The sequence below is a fragment of the Homo sapiens genome, chromosome 17 (genome assembly GCF_000001405.40).
Source record: "Homo sapiens chromosome 17, GRCh38.p14 Primary Assembly".
In the NCBI taxonomy this organism is placed as follows: Eukaryota; Metazoa; Chordata; class Mammalia; order Primates; family Hominidae; genus Homo; species Homo sapiens.
This window is the reverse complement of record NC_000017.11, coordinates 11,639,637-11,661,787: the sequence shown is the minus strand read 5'-3', so window position 1 is coordinate 11,661,787 and position 22,151 is coordinate 11,639,637. Positions and strand designations below refer to the sequence as shown.

Genomic DNA, 22,151 nt, shown 5'->3' with positions numbered 1-22,151 from the left:
TATATTTTACTATTAATATATATTATGTGTGTGTGCATATATATAAATATCTCACACAACAGCAGTATAAAAAATAGGTGAGAGGTTAAATTACACCACACTTTTGCAAGGTTTCTGTAGGAAAAGTCTAAGTAGATTGTGATAAGCTGAAGATGCATACTGAAACCTAGAACAACCACTAGAATTGTAATGCAACAAGGTAAAGCTGAAATGCCAATTGAGAAATTAAAATAGAATACTAAAAAATATACAGTTACCCAAAAAGCAGGTGACAATGGAAGAGCAGAGGAACAAGAAAGCAATGAAGCAAATAGAAAACAAAAAGCAAAATTTAGTAGAGCTAAATTCAACCATACAAATGCTTACATTAAATGTAAACAGTCTATGCATTCCAATTAATAGGCAGAGTTGTTAGACTTAAAAAAATAAATTTGTATTATATGCCGACTATTAAGACAAGAAATTTCAATCCAAGAAACAAATAGGTTGAAGGTAAAATGATGGGAAAAGATGCAAAATACAAAAAGTAAGAATAATGAATCAGATAGGAAAGGCTATATTATTATCAGAAAAAAATAGATTTCAAAACAAGAGGGTATTTTTAGAAATAAAAAGGGAATTTCATAATGATAAAATGGTCAATTAATCAGGAAGTTGTAATAATTATAAATGTGCTAAAATGTTACACATTTATAATTATAAATGTGAAATTTATAGTTATTATAACAGAACTTAACAGAACTTCAAACACATGACAAAAAAATTTAACAGAACTAAAATTGAAATAGACAAATCCAAAATTGTAAGTGGAGATTTTAACACTCTACCTTCAATAATTGATAGAACAAGTAGCCTGTAAAAGATCACAACAATGCTATCAATTGCTTTGAACTAATTTATATTTATAGAACACTACCCCCAACAAAAGAAGAATAAACATTATTATCAAGTCTCCAAGGAACACTCAGTAAGATAGACTATATTCTGGGTCATGAAACAAGTCTCAGAAAATTCCCAAAGACTGAAAGCTTACAGAGTATCTTCTCTGAGCACAATAGAATTAAATTAGATATCAATTTTTAAAGATATCCAGAGAAGCTCTGAATATATGGAAATTAAACAACAAACTTCAAAGTGACCATTGAGTAAAATAAGTTATAACAAGAGCTGGGCATGGTAGTTCACACCTGTAATCCCAGCAGTTTGAGAGGTCAAGGCAGGTGGATCATTTGAGACCAGGAGTTCCAGACCAGCCTGGCCAACAGGGCAAAACCTCATCTCTACTAAAAATTCAAAAATTAGCTGGGTATGGTGGCACATCCCTATAATCCCAGCCATTTGGGAGGCTGAAGCACAAGAATCGCTTGAGCCTGGGAAGCGCAGGTTGCAGTAAGTTGAGACAGTACCTCTGCACTCCAGCCTAGGGGACAGAGCAAGACTCTGTCTCAAAAAAAAAAAAAAAAAAAAAGAAACATTTAAAACTGAATAACAATGCAAATGAGGTAGATCAAATTTGTAGAATGAAACTAAAGCACTACTAAAAGGGTAACTAGTATCACCATCAGCCCATATTCAAGAGAAAGGCTTAAAATCAAGACCCTAAGTTTATACCCTAACAGGCTAAAAACAGATAAGCAACTAACCCTAAAGTAACTTGAATGAAATACTAAAAAACATAAATTAATAAACTAGAAAATAGATGAATAGAGAAAATTAGCAAAATCAAAATTTGGTTCTTTGAAAGGATTTATAAAATTAAGAAAAAGAAAAAATCTCTAGCAAAACCGACCAAGGAAAACAAGTCACAAATTGCCAATATTAGGAATGAAAAAGGATGCAGCACTACAGATCCCATAGACACATAATGTTGGGGTAATCAGACCAAACACCAGGTCGTGGGGGCTACGAAGTCCAGCAGAATCAAAGGAATGAGATAAGACAAGTTAAGAGTACATAGGGTGGGCCCAGGGGGCCAACGCCAGTTTGGAGGCTGTGAAGGCCCCGAGCTCTGGGAGCCCACACTATTTACTGGTAATCAAACAAAGAAGCAGGTGGTGAGGACGTGCTGATGTAGGGGTAGAAAGATGAGGATGTGAGGATAGAAAGGTAGTGGTGCATCAAGCGTAGCTGTGACGGTTTAGCATATGCTCTGCTACTTGAGATAAGGGAAAACAGGTTCTTCTAATTCAAGATACAATGAATTTATGATCTTGGGAGAGCAAGGAGCAAGGGGCCAGTGAGTCTGGACACATTCCAGAGGCTACAAGGGGTTTTATGCCCTGATGCCTGGGTTCTCTCCCAGCCACAAGGGGTTTTATGCCCTGGGCTTAGATTGCAGTGCAGCAGGGCAGCCTTCCACCCTTTGGCACAGAGCTTGGTGTTCCATAGGCCACAAGGGGTTTTAGACCCTGGAAGCAGGACATGTTCCAAGACTCTTTTACATTATGTCAGACAAGCAAGCCCTGCCTCAGCTCTTCTGCCAACACATAATGATAATAAGAAATAATTATGAACAATTTTTTTTGCCAGTAAGTTTTATAACTTAGATAAAATGAAAACGTTTGTAGAAAAAGCAACTTGCAAAAACTAATAAAGGTGTTAGGCAAAAAATCTAAATAGTCTTTCATCTATCTAAGAAATAATTATCAAACACTTTCCCCAGAAGAAACATCCATATCCAGAAGTATTCCCTGGTGAATTCTATCACATATTTAAGGTTGAGTTAAGACCAACCTTCCACAAACTTTTTCAGAAAATAAAAGAGGAAATACTTCCCAACTCATTTTATGAGGCTAGCATAATCTTAACACCGAAACAAGAACATCAAAAGAAAATAAAAGTAGAAGATAAATGTCATTCTTAAACACACGTACAAAAATCTTTTAAAATTATCAGAGCAAATACTATAATACATGAAAAGATTAATATGACATGATCGAATGCATTTATCTCAGAAATGCAAATTTGGGTTTAACATTTGAAAAAAAAAGAACAAAGTGCCCATTAACAGAAAAAAGGAGTAAAATTATATAACCACCTCAGGAGATGCAGAGAAATCATGTGATAAAATTCGATGTTTAATCATGATGAAACTCTTTTAGTCAACTAGGAATAAAAGGGGTCTTCCTGGGTCTGACAAAGAACATCCATGAAACCCTACAGCTAAAAATTTAATGGTGAATTACCAAATGTGTCTCCATATAATTGGAAATGAGGCGAGCATTTCTACTCTCACCACTTCAACGTTATACTGAAGGTTCTAGCCAGAGCAATAAGGCCAAAAAGAAAAAAAAAGACATAAAAAATTGGAAATAAAGAGGTAATATTGTCTCTATTTGCAAATGACTTATTTACATAGATCATCATCCTAAATTTACAAAGCAATTACTACATCTAATAAATTTAGAAAGATCACGGAATATAATATCAAAATGTAAAAATCAATGATGCTTGTATACACTACCTGATAGTAATTGGAAAATGAAATTAATAAAACAATTCCATTTGTTGTAGAACTGCAAACATAAAAAACTTGGTGCTAGATTTAATGGAAAATGTGTGAGACTTCTACACTAAAACTACAAAGCATTGCAGAGAAAAATTAGAGACTTAACTAAGTGAAGAGATATGCCGGGTTCATAAACTGCTATATTCAATATTGTTAAGGTCTTTATTTTCCTCAAATTAATCTACAGATTTAATGTAATCTCAATCAAAATCACATCTAGCCTTTTTCCCCCTAGAAATTGGCAGGCTGAATCTAAAACTTATGTGGATATGTAAAGAACTTATACTAGTCAAAATGACCTTGAAAAGGAAAAACTGAATTGCAGGACATATAGAACCTGATTTTCAGACTTACTGATAATCAATTTTCTCTTGATCAATAATCAAGAACAAGTGGCATTGGTATTTTCCACCATATATATTTTTTATTAATATTTTATACAATTAATCAATTTTCAACAAAGGTGCCAAAAAATTCAAAAGGGAAAGTTATTTTTAATAGTATGGGAACAATCAGATGTTACTATGGAAAACAATGAACTCAATTCCTGTAACCTCCTAAACAAAAATTAATTCAAGACAGATAATACTCCTGAATAAAAAAGTTAAAACTGTAAAACTTCTAAAAGAAAAAAAATAAAAGATATCTTTGCAATCTTTGGAGTAAATAGTTTCCTTAGGACTCAAAAGTACTAACCACAAGAGGAGAAAAGGGAAATCACACAACATGAAAATTTAAAACTATTTCTCATCAACATATATCAATAAGAATATAAGTAAACCACCAATTTGGAGAAGATATTCACAACACACATATCTGTCAAAAGATGTGTAACCAGAAGCTGTAAACGATTGCTAGAACTATAAACCATCCAATTTAAAATGAGAAAAACACTTAGACACTTTATAGAGGAATTCATATAATTGGCCAATCAGCATATGAAAAAATATTCAAAAGTATAAATCTTCAGGGAAAGACAAATTAAAATTTCAGTGAGATACAAAAACACACTGACTAAAATGGTAAAAATTTAAAAGACCACAACATAAACCCACAATTTGGTGAAGAAGTAGAGCAACTGAACTTTATTACACTGCCACTGGGAGTATAAACTACACAATCACTTTTGAAAACTGCTGGGCTATTACTTACACACATTAAACATATGCCTACTGATGACCCTGCAGTTCTCAAGAGAAATGAAAACATATGTCCATGGAATAACTTATATCAGACTGTACATACAAGCTTTATTTATAATAGTCTGAAACTAGAAATAACTCAAAGACCATCATCAGGGGACTGGATGAATTCTGTTATATTCATACAATGGAATTCTAGCAATAAAAAGAATTAGACTCGAAATAAATGCAACAATATGGATAAATCTCAATAACACTAGGCTAAGTTTTAAAAAGGCAGACACAAAAGAGAACTTGCTACGTAATTCCATTTATAGGAAAAGACAAATCTACTCTATATTGACAAAAAGCTGATCAGTGATTGAGGCTCGCAGGAGAATGGGGATGTATTGACTGGAAAGAGGGACAGGTGAACTTTCTAGGGTAATAGCAAACGTTCTGTATTGTGGTAGTTACCTGAGTGTATACATTTGTAAAAACTCACTGAGCTCTATGTATACTTTTTGTCTGTACGTTGTACTGCATGTATATTATACTACAACTTTAATAAATGAATAACCAACTGTACCCAAATATCCAACAGTGGGATGAGTTAGTCAAATCCTGGTGCATCCACACAATTAAACGTTACGCATGATATCATAGAAGATAATTAGTGACATAGACAGTTATTGGGTACACTGTTTTAAAAATCTAGTTATAGCAAATCAGCAAGAAAAGAACAAACAATCCCATCAAAAAGTGGGCTAAAGATGCGAATAGACAATTCTCAAAAGAAGATAAACAAATGGCCAACAAATATATGAAAAAATTCTCAACATCACTAATGATCAGGGAAATGCAAATCAAAACCACAATGCAATACCACCTCACTCCTGCATGAATGGCCATAACCAAACAAATAAAAGAAATAGATGTTGGCGTGGATGTGATGAAAAGGGAACACTTTTACACTGCTGATGGGAATGTAAACTAGCACAACCACTATGAAAAACACTGTGGAGATTCCTGAAAGAACTAAAAGTACAACTACCATTTGACCCAGCAATCCCACTACTGGGTATCTACCTGGAGAAAAAGAAGTCATTATATGAAAAAGATACTGGGCACAGGCCCGTTTATAGCAGTACAATTTGCAATTGCAAAAATATGGAACCAGCCCAAATGCCTATCAGTCAATGAGTGGATAAAGAAATTGTGATATGTATATGTATGTGTGTGTGTATGTGTGTGTGTGTATATATATGTATATATATATATATATCCCACCCTTTCCTCTGAGTCCCCAAAGTCCATTGTATCATTCTTATGCCTTTGCCTCCTCATAGTTTAGCTCCCACTTATGAGTGAGAACATACAATGTTTGGTTTTCCATTCCTGAGTTACTTCACTTAGAATAATGGTCTCCAATTCCATCCAGGTTGCTGCAAATACCATTATTTCATTCCTTTTCATGGCTGAGTAGCATTCCATGGTGTGTGTGTGTGTGTCTATGTATATACATGGTGTGTGTGTGTGTGTATATATATATACATGGGGACTGTAGCTCTGCATTTATCCAATATATTACACAACCTCCAGGGTAGTCATAAAGGTCCCTTAGGTCAAATACAAAACTTAGTAATTAGGCCTTAAATAATGTTTGCCTTTTGATAATTTAAATATTTTTAGACAAAAACCACTGAACAGAAGCTCCATGAACAGAAGAAATTTTTATCTTTTTCTCTAAATTTTTATCTTTTATCTAGTTCTACACACACACACACACACACACACACACACACACCATGGAATGCTACTCAGCCATGAAAAGGAATGAAATAATGGCATTTGCAGCAACCTGGATGGACTTGGAGACCATTATTCTAAGTGAAGTAACTCAGGAATGGAAAACCAAACGTTGTATGTTCTCACTCATAAGTGGGAGCTAAACTATGAGGAGGCAAAGGCATAAGGAGGATACAATGGACTTTGGGGACTCGGAGGAAAGGGTGGGAGGTGGGGGAGGGTAAAAGACTACACACTGGGTACAGTGTACACTGCTTGGGTGATGGGTGCCTATGTACCAATTAGCAGAAAAAGATAAAAATGTCTTCTGTTCGTGGAGCTTCTGTTCAGTGGTTTTTGTCTAAAAATATTTAAATTATCAAAAGGCAAACATTATTTAAGGCCTAATTACTAAGTTTTGTATTTGACCTGAGGGACCTTTATGACTACCCTGGAGGTTGTGTAATATATTGGATAAATGCAGAGCTACAGTCAGACAGCTCTGCTTCCTATTAACTGGGCAGCTACAGACAATTAATTTAGCCTGTCTGTGCCTTCGTTTTCTTATCAATAAAATGATAATGAAAGTATCTGATTTTCATGAGAATTACATGAAATGGACAATGCTTAGGACAGTGCCTGGCACTGTATGGTAGTGTATAGTAGATACTAGATAAATATCAACTACTATTATTGTGTTATAGTAAGAATTATTATTAAAGTGTCTGAACTTTTAGAGACTCTTGTGATAAGTATTTTGGCTTGTGGCCATTTTTGGTTATTTCCTGGTTGACCCCTGGATAATTAAAATGTTACAATATGTACTTTTTTCTAGGTCACTGTGCTTGTCTCACTGATTTTGTGATTTGTCTGAATTTTTTCTCATTCTGACTTTCAAGAGCATGGATTTGAGCATTTGTCATCACATAGATAGGTGATACATCAATAGATAGATACATAGACGATAGATGGATGATAGATCGATTTTAAACTTTTTTTTTTTTTTTTTTTTTTTGAGACGGAGTCTCGCTCTGTGGCCCAGGCTGGAGTGCAGTGGCGCAATCTCGGCTCACTGCAAGCTCCGCCTCCCGGGTTCACGCCATTCTCCTGCCTCAGCCTCCCGAGTAGCTGGGACTACAGGCGCCCGCCATCACGCCCGGCTAATTTTTTTGTATTTTTAGTAGAGACGGGGTTTCACCGTGTTAGCCAGGATGGTCTCGATCTCCTGACCTCGTGATCCGCCCGCCTCGGCCTCCCAAAGTGCTGGGATTACAAGCGTGAGCCACCGCGCCCGGCCTAGATCGATTTTAAACTTTTAAAATCTTAAGTAATTCCTTTTTTTGCTTGATGGTTTTCTTCTACCTCAAAGCGGGGACTATATCTTACATTTTCTTGGTATTCGATACAGTGCCCAGGATAGCTATGGAAATACAGCTGATGGATGGATGGGTGAATGAGTGGATGAATGAACAGTTGGATGAAAGAAAGACGAATGAAAAGCAGATGGCTGGGTTCTACAACAGCTGCTGATTTACTGGATGTGGGGACAGAAGGGGTTAAAAATTAAATCAACTTGAGGGACTCTTCAACTTGAGCAGCTCTTTACTCTCAAAGATAAAATTGGGATAATTATCTTAATTCTGGTAATCATTAGTGCTTAAGGCTCAACATTTTTATTGTGCTTCAAACCACAGAAAATCCACAGATAACAACTGTGATTCACTTGTGACTTTCCACAGGAGTCAACTTGTCAGACATGGCCCTATAGCTACTTGCGTAGGGCTGGAGCTGGTGGCCATTTATAATCCTTTCCCATTGTTCACAAGGAAGCTTCAGTCTTTGATGATGGGACGTAAAGTTTCCCTGACCACTAATGCAGGGCAGAGCTTTACAGCATGAAGTGTAGCACTCTGCATTTTTTCCTCTTATCACACACAGTTAGGGATACCACGGTAGTCTTTCATTTCTTTAGGCTCTACGGAGCCGGGTTATAAGGATGATGCTGGAGGACCACAATATGTTGTGTGGGCAAGCCGGGATGGGGATGGTTACTGCAGTGGATAATTTGGAATTTTGCCCTTGTCATCTTCTTCTGTTCCCTTGGGGGTAGGTGTGAGACCGAAGTCATGTGACAATTAAATGTTGTCACCATGAAGATAGTAATAATTTCAACACATTGATACCAAAATGCAACTTTTCATTTGCCCAGTCTATCAGCTTTAGTCTTTTGCTATCAGCCTAAACTTCTATCCTTGTCTTCGGAAGACACTGCACTTACTGACTGTCCTAATCACTTATTCATCCAAACACACTTTTTGATGCTTTCCCTAAACTCGTAGTATGTGCGCCTGAGTGGCTGGGTTATTACCTGAACAAGGGCGTGGATCTTAAGGCCAGATTCCTTGATGAGATTGTAATATTTTTCCATTCGATCATGCCGATCATCCAGAGAAAGAAGGGATTCCCTTTTTCCATCTTTTGTCTTAAATATTGGAGTCACCCATGTTTTCATGATGTTTTGGATCTCTTCCACATTGTCTTTAGTTTTCTGAATTCTTTGTTCAAGATCATGAATACTACTGGTGATTTCAGTGACATAATCGCAAATGCCTGTTCCCCAAAAGAAACATAATTAATTGAAATAGCCTGCAGTGGCATAGCTAAAGGGCTAGTTGCTATGAAAGACAGGGATTTAATACTTGCGAGTGTTATAAGACTTTTCTACACAGGTAACTTCATTATCGTCAGAATATTCTCCCTCCTAGTTGTATTAAAAAGCCAACCCTGGCCGGGCACGGTGGGTCACGCCTGTAATCCCAGCACTTTGGGAGGCCGAGGTGGGCGGATCACGAGGTCAGGAGATCGAGACCATCCTGGCTAACACGGTGAAACCCTGTCTCTACTAAAAATACAAAAAATTAGCTGGGTGGGGTGGTGGGTGCCTGTAGTCCCAGCTACTCGGGAGGCTGAGGCAGGAGAATGGCGTGAACCCGGGAGGCAGAGCTTGCAGTGAGCCGAGATTGTGCCACTGCACTCCAGCCTGGGTGACAGAGCGAGACTCTGTCTCAAAAAAAAAAAAAAAAAAAAAAAGCCTACCCTTACCATAATCCTGATTATGGAGGAAGAGAAAGAGGTAATGCTTACTTACCAAGCACACAAAAGCTGGTACAGCTGCTAGGGAATGCAATCTTATATCCAAACACCAGTGAGACTTGATGACCTTATTTGGGTTAATCTTTCTTTTAATGTTTTAAGCACTTTCATCATGTTAAATTTTGAAAATGTCTTTTCCTCTTGTATATGAAATAAAGTTCTAACTTGTTTAATATGGCATTCTAAGACTTTCATGAATCAACTATAATCTTTTTTTTTCAAACTTTAACACTTCTGAGGACCCTAATTCGAATTAATCTCCCTCTCCTGTGATTCCCTCCTGTGAATCCCTCTCCTGCTATTCATCACACTTCATTTTTACCTCTATGATGGCTTTTCATGAAAGTCATCATATGGCTCTGTATAAGTTATGTTGTATATCTGTCTGTTGTCCCCACTAAATGTGAGCTCTTTGAGGGTAGAGACCATGTCCCATACACCTCAAATCTAATTTGTCACACAGTACCCTGCGCGTATTAATCAGCCAATGAAAGTGTATTGAATTGAGAGATACCAGAGAAGTCAATGCATACTGCTTTAAGATGCTTACAATCTAGTTAAGAAAATTAAATAACAAAGATAATATAGTAAGAGCTGTCACTCATGGAGCACCCAATATATGCTGGAGACTGTAGGAGATCTTATGCAACTTCTGAGCCTCCCAACATGCATGGCAACAAGGTTTTCTAAATTTATCAACTATATCCATAGAAAAGGAAAAAAAGGAATACCAACCCTTCTTGCCTTCTCTGCTTGGATATGTGTCAAAGGAGAAGACAGACTTATGTTTCAACCCCAAATAAGATTACCAGGGAATAATTGGAGGTTCTATGAACTTTATTAGATCCTCGAATCTCCATGTTTTTGTCAGACTTCAGATGGTGCCCTGTTACCTTCTGTTTTCCAGTTCAAAGTCTCCTCTGCTGCTCTGAGGCGGAGATCAATATTTTGCAGCTCTTCCTCCACTAATGGAAATTCCACCTCCAGCAGAGTTTTCATAACCTTGTTGTACCAATTTGCCATCAACTCTAAATTAGCCACAAGCTGCCGATAGAAATCCCTGGAGGAGAACATGGCTGCTGCTGTCTCAGGCATGTGTTTCATCTCTCTGGGTTCAAGATAGCTCATTTCTTTCAGCACTGAAATCAGCTGGAGAAAAGAAGCAACACAAGTGTCTGTCGTTCAGTGATAATGAATAATCTGCAGCATTGGTCAAAGACTGGACAATCCCAGGAGGCCCAAAGATCTTCTGGGTCTTTTCTTAAGTTCTGCTCCTATCAGTTTCTTAAATCTAGTCTCAGAAAAGGAAAATCAAGTATCAGGCAGAAGGAAGATGTCTCGGAAAGAAACAAGGCTCCTAAATCTATACATCATAAAGAAGAGGAAAACCTGAGAACAGAGACAAGTGTGATAGCAGGGGAGGGCTCTGCCTTCTGTGCTTTGGACAATGTGGCTGCGGAAATGATGGGCTCATAGGGGCCCAGCCAGTTCCCATCCAAGGGTGGTGGCCTAAAGGAGGAGAATCATCTGGCCTGGGCTACCAACATTCATGAGAAGCCTCAAGTTCAGACTTCTGGCATTCTCTCCAAATGAAACAGTTATAGCGAGACACTGGCAGGATTGAGAGGAGGTGCCCATAATAAAACTTTAGTTATTCAATGTAATCATTTGGAATATCCCACAACTTCTGTAACTCTCTGCTGGCATTTCCTTGTGTCTTAACATGCTAGGGGTTCAGGAAATGGAACTCATCCAGGCTGCGTTGAACTTCTGTGGGGTCCCAAATTCAGCAGCAACTGAAGAAGTGAGAAGCCAAGGAGAAAGATTTGTCCAATGAAACAGGGTTTCCAGGCACTCTCTTCTTCATCCTTCCTTATTTATTGATGTTTCTGTCTGAACCCATGAGGACTGATGGGCATAGGTACAAGTGATGAACAGATGGCCCCAGGTTCTCCCTATCTCCCCCTCATATGAAGACACCTGGCTCCTAGCTCTCCTTCCAGTACTCTGGGTCAATTCTTTATTGCTAGTGGGCAAACCCTACTCAGCATTCAGACAAATGCTAACCATTTTGTGGGGAAATGGACTCAGTCTTCTAGTTCTAGCTCAAGATAGATATTAATAATTTAACTGTAAAAAGTGAAAAGAAAATAATTAAAAGAAAGATGTGGGGCTATTAATATAATAGGGAAGTAGAGAAAGTCATTCCAAACATAAAACCACAAAACATAAAAACTTTTGCGCATAAAATATCAACATAAAATGGCCAACATATTTGGCCATTTAAACTGGCAAAATTTTTGGAGCAGATTTCTTAGTATCTGTCACATATTTCCTAAGTATCCTAACAAATTCACAGGAAGAGAGGGTACTTCCACTAGCAAGTGGGCAAAGGACATGAACAAGCAATTCAAAGAAGAATAAATATACATGAGTAATGAATATATGATAAAAATTCACATTTACTAGTAATCAAATACATGCAAATTGAACAACATTGAGTTTTTTTCTTTTAGTTCAACAGTCTGGAAACTATTTGAAGAAATGAACAGTATCTTGTTGGCAGGAAAATGACTGAGTTTCATCTTTCTAAAGAACAAGTTGATAATATACATGAAAAGTCTCAAAATGTGAATGCCCGTTAGCCCAGAAATTCCATTTCTGGACTTTTATCCTAAAGAAATAATCAGGAATGCATACAATCAAAACTAGGGATATTTGTTGTAGCATTATTTATACCATGCTTTATCCAGTTTAAGATGTCATCAATTGTAAGATTCACTATTATTTTATACGCAACAAAAGAAAAAACAAAAACATGCAGTCTATTAAACTAAAAACATGCCAATTTCAGAGATATAAATATGTAAAAAGATGCCTCCTAGAATCAATGAAATATAGACTGATGAAACTGTAAAATGATGTAAATGCCCAACAATAAGACATTTAAATAATTTAAATGATTTACATAAATTTGAAAAACTTAACCTATACAATTCTTATCCTGTCCCCAGAGGGGCAAATTTCTGATCATGTCCCTCTAGACTAATAAGATAAGTGTGTTACTGTTCATTCTTTTTTTTTTTTTTTGAGATGGAGTTTCGCTCTTGTTGCCTAGGCTGGAGTGCAATGGCGCAATCTCGGCTCACTGCAACCACTGCCTCCTAGGTTCAAGCAATTCTCCTGCCTCAGCCTCCTGAGTAGCTGGGATTACAGGCATGTGCCACTACGCCTGGCTAATTTTTTGTATTTTTAGTAGAGATGGGGTTTCTCCATGTCAGTCAGGCTCGTCTTGAACTCCTGACCTCAGGTGATCCACTCACCTCAGCCTCCCAAAGTCCTGGGATTATAGGTGTGAGCCACCACGCCCGGCCCTGTTCATTCTTAATAGCCCAGCTTTGGCCACATTGCTTGAAGTTGTATGTCAAGGTGTGATGGTGTTCTTCTTTGACTTGTTAAGCTTGTAGTTGTCCCCCATCAACTCACATTATAGTTTAGGTATTAATATTTATCCCTACCCCCCTTTTTCTTCTTTCCTCCCTCCTTTCCCTTCTATGGCCTGCAAACATCTATAAAGTGTGCCCTATGTGTTACACATTAAGGCAGATAAGGTCCTTGTCCTTGGAGTATACAGAGGCTGGTCCATCTTCAATACATGACCAAGTATGGTTATATACCAAGGACTTAATTACTATATAGTAATATATCTTATACTGAGGACTTATCTCAAGGGCTTAATTACTATATTACAACATGGAAACTGTGGCCTACTTGGTAATCCAGATATTCATCTCTTTAGGCATTTAATATTCAATATTGCTCACAGTGAATGCCAATGAAATTGATCCAAGGAGTTCAGTAAGTTAAACAGACTCACGTCTTGCCAAAGTGAAGACATGAATTCTCTATATTCCTTGTTGACTTTGATTGCAGAGGAGGAAGCAATGTTCTACTTAAATTGCAATTTTCTTGAAAGACACCAATATGCTATCAGCTTGGTTTTCAGCTCAATCTATAGTGCATTCCTGGAGCATACGCCATCAAGGCAGATGTAGGTGACTGCTTTTAGCTTAGTGTGACCAATACAGTTTTTTTCAACCTGAGTAATATTATTTTTGAAACCAACTAACCTTTAGTTATCATTTTTCTCCAGCATTAAACTTTCTGTGGCTGCTACGGTCCCCACTGGTCTTCCATCCTTCTGATCATCTAAAACAGTTTCTCAACCTCAGCACTATTCACATTTTTGACAAGTAACTCTGTGGTGGTACACAGTCCTGTGCATTGCAAGAAGTTTAGCAGTATCCCTGCTATCTATCCACTAAATGCCATTGGCACTCCCGCCTAGTTTGACAAACAAAAATGTTTCCAGGAGGACAAAATCACCACCAGTTGAGAACCACTAATCTAGAGTCTTATTTCCAAAGCCACTCCTCTGGGATTTACCATATGCCATCTAGTGAAGATAAAATTTTGCATGTTAAGGTTGTGACCCCCAACTAGACCGTGGGTTCCTTGAGGGCAGGAGCCAAGTCTTATATGCACTTGGTTGGCCCTCCAGCATCTAGTCAATGGCCTTCAGACATGGTAAGTTCAAGGTAGGCCCAGTGGGCTATGTTTGTTACCAAATGATTGGTGATCTTTTGTAGTACTTCCTGTTGTGCAAAATTGAAGCAAATATATTGAGCAACCCTAGTGAAAAATGTGAACATGGACAACTTAATAAAACACTACACCCCAGAATTCATCCCAAAAAAGAAATCCAGGGTACAAATTATTTTGAGAATCTTTTGCATGTTCTTATAAAAAGTCTTTGTGCTGGGAGGCTGAGGTAGGAGAATCACTTGAACCCAGGAGGTAGGGGTTGTAGTGAGCTGAGATCGCGCCACTGCACTCCAGCCTGGGCGACAAGAGTGAAACTCCGTCTCAAAAAAATAAAAGTCTTTACGCTTTTGAAATCAGCAGAGTTCAAAGAAACTCTTCAGGAACCCAAAAGAGAGCTACTGTCAGCCAACTGACCTGTGGGTTAAAGTTGATAGTGATCTCCTTCGTCTCTGGGTCACGTTTTAGAAGTGGTTGGGAAAGATTGTACTGTGACTTCTCTGATACTGTCCGGCACCAATCCTCATAAAGTCTTGTCTCATACCTGCAAGGGTCAGAGACAACAGCCACCTCATAAGCCCCCTCCCAGCTCACCGGTGCCTGGTCATGATCTGTAACATAAATTGAAGATACTACTAGTCATTGACCCAACCAGGCTGGGTCAGCTTCTGAGAGTAACCACAAATTTCTTTCTTTCTTTTTGAGACAGAGTTTCGCTCTTGTTGCCCATGCTGGAGTGCAATGATGTGATCTCGGCTCACTGCAACCTCTGCCTCCCGGGTTCAAGTGATTCTCCTGCCTCAGCCTCCCAAGTAGCTGGGATTACAGGCATGTGCCACCACGCCTGGCTAATTTTGTATTTTTAATAGAAATGGGGTTTCTCTGTGTTGTTCAGGCTGGTCTCGAGCTCCCGACCTCAGGTGATCTGCCCGCCTTGGCCTCCTAAAGTGCTGGGATTACACGCTTGAGCCACTGCACCCGGCCATAGCCACAGATTTCTAAAGGTAGCATTGCTTAAATCAGAGAAGAGGAGAAAGACCCCATGAGATCTTTTGAGGGGATAAGGAAGTTGTGATTAGTCTCAGTAAATGTTGCAAGAAGTTACTGGGGAAGATTCGCTCTCACACTAATCTTTACGTAGCTCATGGACGTTCATCATTCAGTCATGACACACTGACCAAGCACCTACCATGTGCTGGACTTCGGGGATACAAATGATGGATGAGTACCTGACAGTAAAGGCAGTTAATGGTGGGGATCGCAGGCCAACAGATCACCCTGACACAGTGCAGCAACTGCAATCCTAAAGAAATGTACAGCTGTAATCCCAGCACTTCAGGAGGCCGAGGCAAGTGGATCATCTGAGGTTGGGAGTTTGAGACCAGCCTGACCAACATGGAGAAACCCCGTCTCTACTCAAAATACAAAAAAAAAATTAGCCAGGCGTGGTGGCTCACACCTGTAATCCCAGCACTTTAGGAGGCCACGGCAGGCAGATCACAAGGTCAGGAGATCGAGACAATCCTGGCTAACACGGTAAAACCCTGTCTCTACAAAAAATACAAAAAATTAGCCGGGTGTGGTGGTGGGCACCTGTAGTCCCAGCTACTCGGGTGGCTGAGGCAGAAGAATGGCGTGAACCCGGGAGGCGGAGCTTGCAGTGAGTCGAGATTGTGCCACTGCACTCCAATCTGGGCGACAGAGCAAGACTCCGTCTCAAAAAAAAAAAAAAAAAAGAAAAAGAAAAAGAGAAATGTACAGGACATCAGGCACCTAATAGCAGAGGTGGAAGGCTGGGGATGATAAGGAGAATGTCAGGGAAGGTTTCATAGGAGAGGTGATGAAGGGATGCTTGCTTGGGTCTCAGAGGATGGCCAGAGGTTGGGTGGCAAAGGGAGAGTGAGCATTCCTGGTGTAGCCAAAGGGTAGAGGTGAGAAACAGCATGCTTGAAACTGTGTGCTTGAAACAAGGACTACAGAGCATGGCAGAGGCTGGAGGTGGTGACGAGGAGGCAAAAACCACCTCAAGGAAGACTTTTCATGTCATGTTAAGGAGGCTGTGAGAACCACCGCAAGGCCTCCCAGCTGGTGGTGGCTATGGTGACATTATTGGATTTGGTAACAATGTGGGTACTGAGGGGAACAGATCTGGAGGCAGCAAGGACTGTTAGGAAGCCACTGCAGCAGTTCAGCCTGGAGAAGTTCCAGTCTCTTGTGAAGACACTGGTGGTGGAGACAAAGAGGAGTGGATGGACTTGAAGTTATTTTAGAGGTAAAAGGGGTGGAATGTGTGTTACTTGCCAGGTAGAGGTGCTGTTAATTAATCTGTCTGGAACAATGCTAAGCATAATCACAATTATAATCTCAACGGCCACCATTCTTCCCTCCTGAACCAGGAGAAAGAACAAATGGCAGAAGGAGAAATCAAGACAATGGCTGTTTCTAGACCCTAAGCCCTGGAAAGACTTATTCAGCTTTAAAGCAGTTACAACTTTGAAGTCATATAAAATTTTCACTCTTATGCTTTCTCAATAAAATGATGCAGGAAGTACTTTTTAAAACTTATTGCCTCTTTGTGCAGCATGCACTGTTGCTTTCTGCTGAGTAAGCAGCTGTTGCAATTTTCCGTGACATCCGTCTCGGAGTTCCATGAGTAGCACCCCACTCCTAGCTCTAGTTCACACTCCCAGCAAAACTACACTGGAAAAGTATTTATTTCCAGAATACAGCTGAATTCCCCAGATACCCTGTGTGTGTGCAACCCGGAAATACTGTACTCACAAATATCGTGGTTATAACATAAAACATAGAGTGATACTTCGGAGCCACTGAGGAATCTGCACAAACTCGGAGCTGCAAAAGGCAGCATGGAGGCTGTGCAATCTGCAGACCCACGCAATGCCAGAAGTTGCTTACTTTTCTAGCAATGACAGCATATCTTCATATTTTTGTTGCATTCGCTTTCCTTCTGCAGATTCCATGCAACTACTCGTACAAAAGAGAAAAAGTGACACAGAATTAGAAGAAGTTAAAGTAATAATCCGAGGAACAAACTGCAGTCTCCAAAGAAGAGCGTGAATAGCTCCTTGGCTCGTTTCCAAACAGCCCTGAAAGAGCCTTTCTTCTTCGCGAACATCTTACTCTGGCCACTAGAGGGCATCTGCACTTCCTGAAACGCAGGCAGCTCCGCAAGTGTCAGAGCTCTCATAACCTTTCCTGCCCGCAGCTCCACCAGCACCCTCACCTAGCTGAGCCAGTCACACACAAGGTATGTGAGGTCCTTCAAAAATCTGAATAAAAGGGAAATTGAGATATGAAAAAATTCTAGGTGCTGTAATTTTCTGTATTTAAGACCATCAATGTTATATACAGTCATGCACCACATAATGGCATTTTGGTCAACATATATACACGTATGTGACTGCGGTCCCATAAGATTTTAATGACGCTGAAAAATTCCTATTGCCTGTTGACATGGTGCAACGCATTACTCCCATGGCTGTGGTGATGCTGGTGTAAACAAACCTACTGTGCTGCCAATCGTATAAAAGTGTACAGTAATGTCCTAGGCCTTCGCATTCACTCACCACCCACTCACTGACTCACCTACAGCAACTTCCAGTCCTGTGAGCTCCATTCATGGTAAGTGTCCTACACAAGCGTACCATTTTTTAAATCTTTTATGCCTTATTTTTTGCTGTACTTTTTCTATGTTCAGATATGTTTAGATACACAAACACTTAGTATAGTGCTACAATTGCCTGCAATACTCAGGACAGTCACTCGCTGCACAGGTTTGTAGCCTGGGAGCAATACACTGGACCATAGAGTGTATTGATCATAGAGTGTATTGATCATAGGCTAAGCTAGACCATAAAGCGTATTGATCATAGAACGTATTGATCATAGAGCATATTGATCATAGAGCGTGTTGATCATAGAGCGTATTGCTCCTAGGCTAAGCTAGACCATAGGGCATTTGTAGCCTAGGAACAATACTCTAGACCACAGACATAGGTTTGTGTAAATACACTCTATGATGTTCACATAATGATGAAATTGCCTAAGGATATATTTCTCAGAACATAACCCCATTGTGAAGTAATACATGATTGTCTATAACACTATATGCCAGGTAAATATCTATATAGGTACAGATATATTAACATGTTTTTTATATATTTAAATATATGTTTCCCCTTTTCTGAAATCCATCTAGAACACGCGATCCGAAACACTACCACTTCTTCACGTTTTTACATGAGGGTCCCTCCCAGCTCTTACCCCTGAAACATGTGCACATGTAATACACATACATGAAAGTGCACATGGACGTACATATAACATGTGTAAACACAAGTGTGCACACACAAATGGAGGCTTCTGCAGGAATGCTAAGGACCACGGAAGAGAGTGTGGCTCGAGGTACGGTTACCCTCAACTGGTTTTGACACTTCCCACAACACTAATGAAAGTCCAGTCCTGGAAGAAATTGGTGAAGTATCTTTAATTCTTCAAAATCTTCACACTAACTATGTGGTGGTTTGTTTCTATTTGACCTGCTGGCAAAATGAGGCAGCTTACTGCAGAGATTCCTTAAAATCCATCTGCTCTTTAAACCAACATAGGATTTCTTCATCAGATCCCTCGAGCTTTCCACAGAAGCCCTAGCGCCTGCAGAGAAAGCAATGAATTTGCTGGCGTTTTTTTTTCCCCCTGATTACTCAGTCCACGTTTGTGATGAAAGAGCAGATGCATCTGCCAGGCAGCAAGGAGAGGTAGAATATGCTCCAGCCCGAATGGGCGCTTTCCCTTGCCAAGCTGTGTGATTTCCACAAGCCCCACAGGCCCCAACCCCGGGTCTCAGTTTTGTATCTAGAAAAGAATGAGGCCAGAGCAGAGTGAGGCTTCTCACGTGGGCGTGTGGCCGAGTGGGTCTGGGAAGTCACAGGAATAAGCACAGTGAAATTCCTGCAGTTCCCATGTCACTTCATGGTGAGGAATCTAAAACATTTTCAATAACCAATCAATACCTATTATAGAATAGAATACACTTTTTTTTTGAGATGGAGTTTCGCTCTTGTTGCCCAGGCTGGAGTGCAATGGCGCAATCTCGGCTCACTGCAACCTCTGCCTCCCAGGTTCAAGTGATTCTCCTGCCTCAGCGTCCTGAGTAGCTGGGATTACAGGCGCCCCCCGCCCCCTGCCCCCACCACACCTGGCTAATTGTTTGTATTTTTAGTAGAGATGGGTTTCACCATGTTGGCCAGGATGGTTGCAAACTCCTGACCTCAGGGGATCCACCCGCCTCAGCCTCCCAAAGTGCTGGGATTACAGGTGTGAGCCACCATGCCCGGCCCATAATACACATTTGAATTCATTTTTAAAACAAGGGGGAGTTTTCACGGGAATTATAGAGGTCTCTGTTGTGTGCCTTCCAGATCGCCTCTTGGGACCAGGCCCTGGTACACCTCCAAACCTTCCTGCTTCAACCCCTGCCTCGCCCTGTCCCCTCCAGCCAGGAGTGTTGGCTGCTGCAGAAGTACCGCTGCCTCCCTCTTTGGGAGCAGCCTTGGCCAGAGAGAGCTGCCTCACCCAAAGGTCACGCCCCTCCCCAGGAAAGCCCACATCCTACCAGCTGATGTAGGGGTACGGAGGCAGAACAGCTCTGAAGGGCCCAAACTCCCTGGAGGACCAGCTGAGACCCCCATTGCAACTTTCTTGCAGCTCAGCAGCTCAACTTCTTTCTCTGCCCGATCTGTTTCCCCTCCCTTCCTCATGAGTGCTGTTCCTGAAAGGATCTCTATAAATTCCTGCACACACATCATAGGTCTGCTTCCTGGGAACCAGACCTGTGACAGCTGTGGCAGTCCACATTCTAGGGGCAGCCCTGGCACCCCTCCCCACCCCATTCACCTATCTTCTCCCTTCTGCCTTCTGCTGCGTGATTGAGATGCATGAGGGCTCAGATCTACTCCCCGCCAAACTTCCAGGGCTGGGGGGTCCCCGGGAAGCATTCTGGATTAGGAGCCTGGAGAATCAGGCATTTCTTCCAGTTCTTTCTTTGGCTGTCTCTAGGACCTTGGGCAAGTCACCTCCCTTCTCTCTTCATTTCCTCCATTTCTTCATCTGAAAATAAAGATCTCGCCCACACCCAAGCAGATGCTGCAAATGGGTCACCCGCTGGGCAGACCTGCCTCACAGGCATGCTTTGTTAGTTCTGCACAGAGTTTGAGAAAAAATGGAATCCTTGATCATTGGAAAATTGGATGTCCAACTCTAAAATCCAGTTTCCAGCTTATCTCCAACAGTCAGGAGATTGCTCACATTGGGTCTGCTTTTCTGCTTGGCAATGCTGGAGTGGGGTGCTGGTGGCCCCCTGCAGACCCCATCCTGGCCATCCATTTGTCTGGCCTCTGATGGTGTTGAGTCTTCCCACTTGGGCCAGACCAGAGGGTCTCTAAGGCTCTTCCTAACTCCAAAAAGCCTGTGAGTCCAATGGCCAGAGTTTGATTCTTTTCCTTCTGTTGTGTTTTCCAAAACCTGTGTGCTGTCAGCAAGATTAAGTCTTTTAGAAAGAGGTATCAGAGAAAGACTGCCTTTCCTCAGCCAGCGTCTTAAACACAACATCACAATTAGCAGCTGAGTTGCTTCTATCTCAGCTTCTAACCTCAGCTATGAAGCAAGCTGAGGGTTTCCAAACCTGGTCACCGTCAGAATCACAGGAGGAGCTTGCTGAAGGGGCAGATTCACAGCCCACACCAGATTCAGATTCAGCCAGTGACAGGTGAGGCCCTGGAATGTGCATCTTTAACAGGTTTTCCAGAGTTATCCTGATGGACAGAGACCTCATACTGCACTTGAGGAAACACTGGGCTTCATTACTTTCCAGTGGCCTCAGCAGCAAGGAGACATGATGTCAAAGGGAGACGTGTGGAAGAACTCCACAGAGCTTAAAATCCCTGGCTCACTGTCCTCCAGAAATGAATCCCCCAGAGCAAAATGAGTCAGCCAGTTACAGCACTTAACACCAAGGGCCCTGCCCTTCAGTCCAAATGCATCAATATCATGACTGTTTTGCCAATAGGTGTCTAATCCCTTGCTGGAAATGGAAAGAAAGGAAGATGATTTTCTGGCCTTCGTTAAGCAGGTTGCATTTCTACAACACTCAGATTCTAGAGCAGGAACAGCAGCCCAAGACAAGCCTGTCTTTCAGGAACACAATACTCACGGGTGTGTGATGCGTCCAAAGTTGCTGAAAGGACCCTGGATGCGCTGCCTCAGCTCCTGTGCCCAGCGGAGGCCGCCAGCCACGGTGGGCATGTTCTTGTGCACCGGGGAGAACCCTGGAGACATGGCACAGACAGACCGAAATGAGTCTAGAGCACCTCAGTCCTCTCCGCTCGGCAAACACCTCCCACCAAGTACTCCACTTTTGCCTCATTATCTCCAGACTAAAGTCACCTGGGAGCACACTGGAGTTCCTGGGGGGTTCTGTTAAAGAGGAAGAAAGAGTAACCCTGAGACGAACACTCCCAGCCTCAGGGGACCTGGGTCCCATGCCCAAGCTATTCTGATTTCATTGCTCTGGGAGGGGCCCAGCCATGAGTGTTTCAAGGAGTCTAACTCTTGTCGCCCAGGCTGGAGTGCAGTGGCGCAATCGTGGCTCACTACAACCTCTGCCTCCCAGGTTCAGGTGATTCTCCTGTCTCAGCCTCCTGAGTAGCTGGGATTTGCAGGCACCCACCACCACACGTGGCTAATTTTCGTATTTGTAGTAGAGATGGGGTTTCACCATATTGATCAGGCTGGTCTCAAACTCAGGTGATCCACCCGCCTCAATCCCCCAAAGTGCTGGGATTACAGGCGTGAGCTGCTGCACCTGGCCACAATTGAGTGTTTTTTTAAAACGCTCTCAAGATGACTCTAATTGAACAGTCAGGGTTGAAACACTCCCTTAAACAGACAACTCAATCACC

The 22,151-nt window shown here is 41.1% G+C and overlaps 1 protein-coding gene across 6 annotated transcripts in view; it reads right to left on the bottom strand.

The window, feature by feature from the left end:
- Positions 1-22,151, bottom strand: part of DNAH9 (dynein axonemal heavy chain 9) — a 371,279-nt gene that overhangs the window by 307,961 nt on the left and 41,167 nt on the right. For 5 of the 6 annotated variants that reach the window (XM_011523703.3, NM_001372.4, XM_017024292.3 and 2 more), the window contains 5 exons: positions 21,404-21,518; positions 17,089-17,157; positions 14,590-14,716; positions 10,464-10,719; positions 8,786-9,027 (listed from right to left, as the gene is read on the bottom strand). In XM_011523703.3, the coding sequence (XP_011522005.1) occupies positions 8,786-9,027; positions 10,464-10,719; positions 14,590-14,716; positions 17,089-17,157; positions 21,404-21,518 (809 nt within the window). Of the gene's footprint in view, positions 1-8,785; positions 9,028-10,463; positions 10,720-14,589; positions 14,717-17,088; positions 17,158-21,403; positions 21,519-22,151 lie in introns of those variants that run through there. The other variant, XM_017024293.2, reaches the window with a different exon arrangement.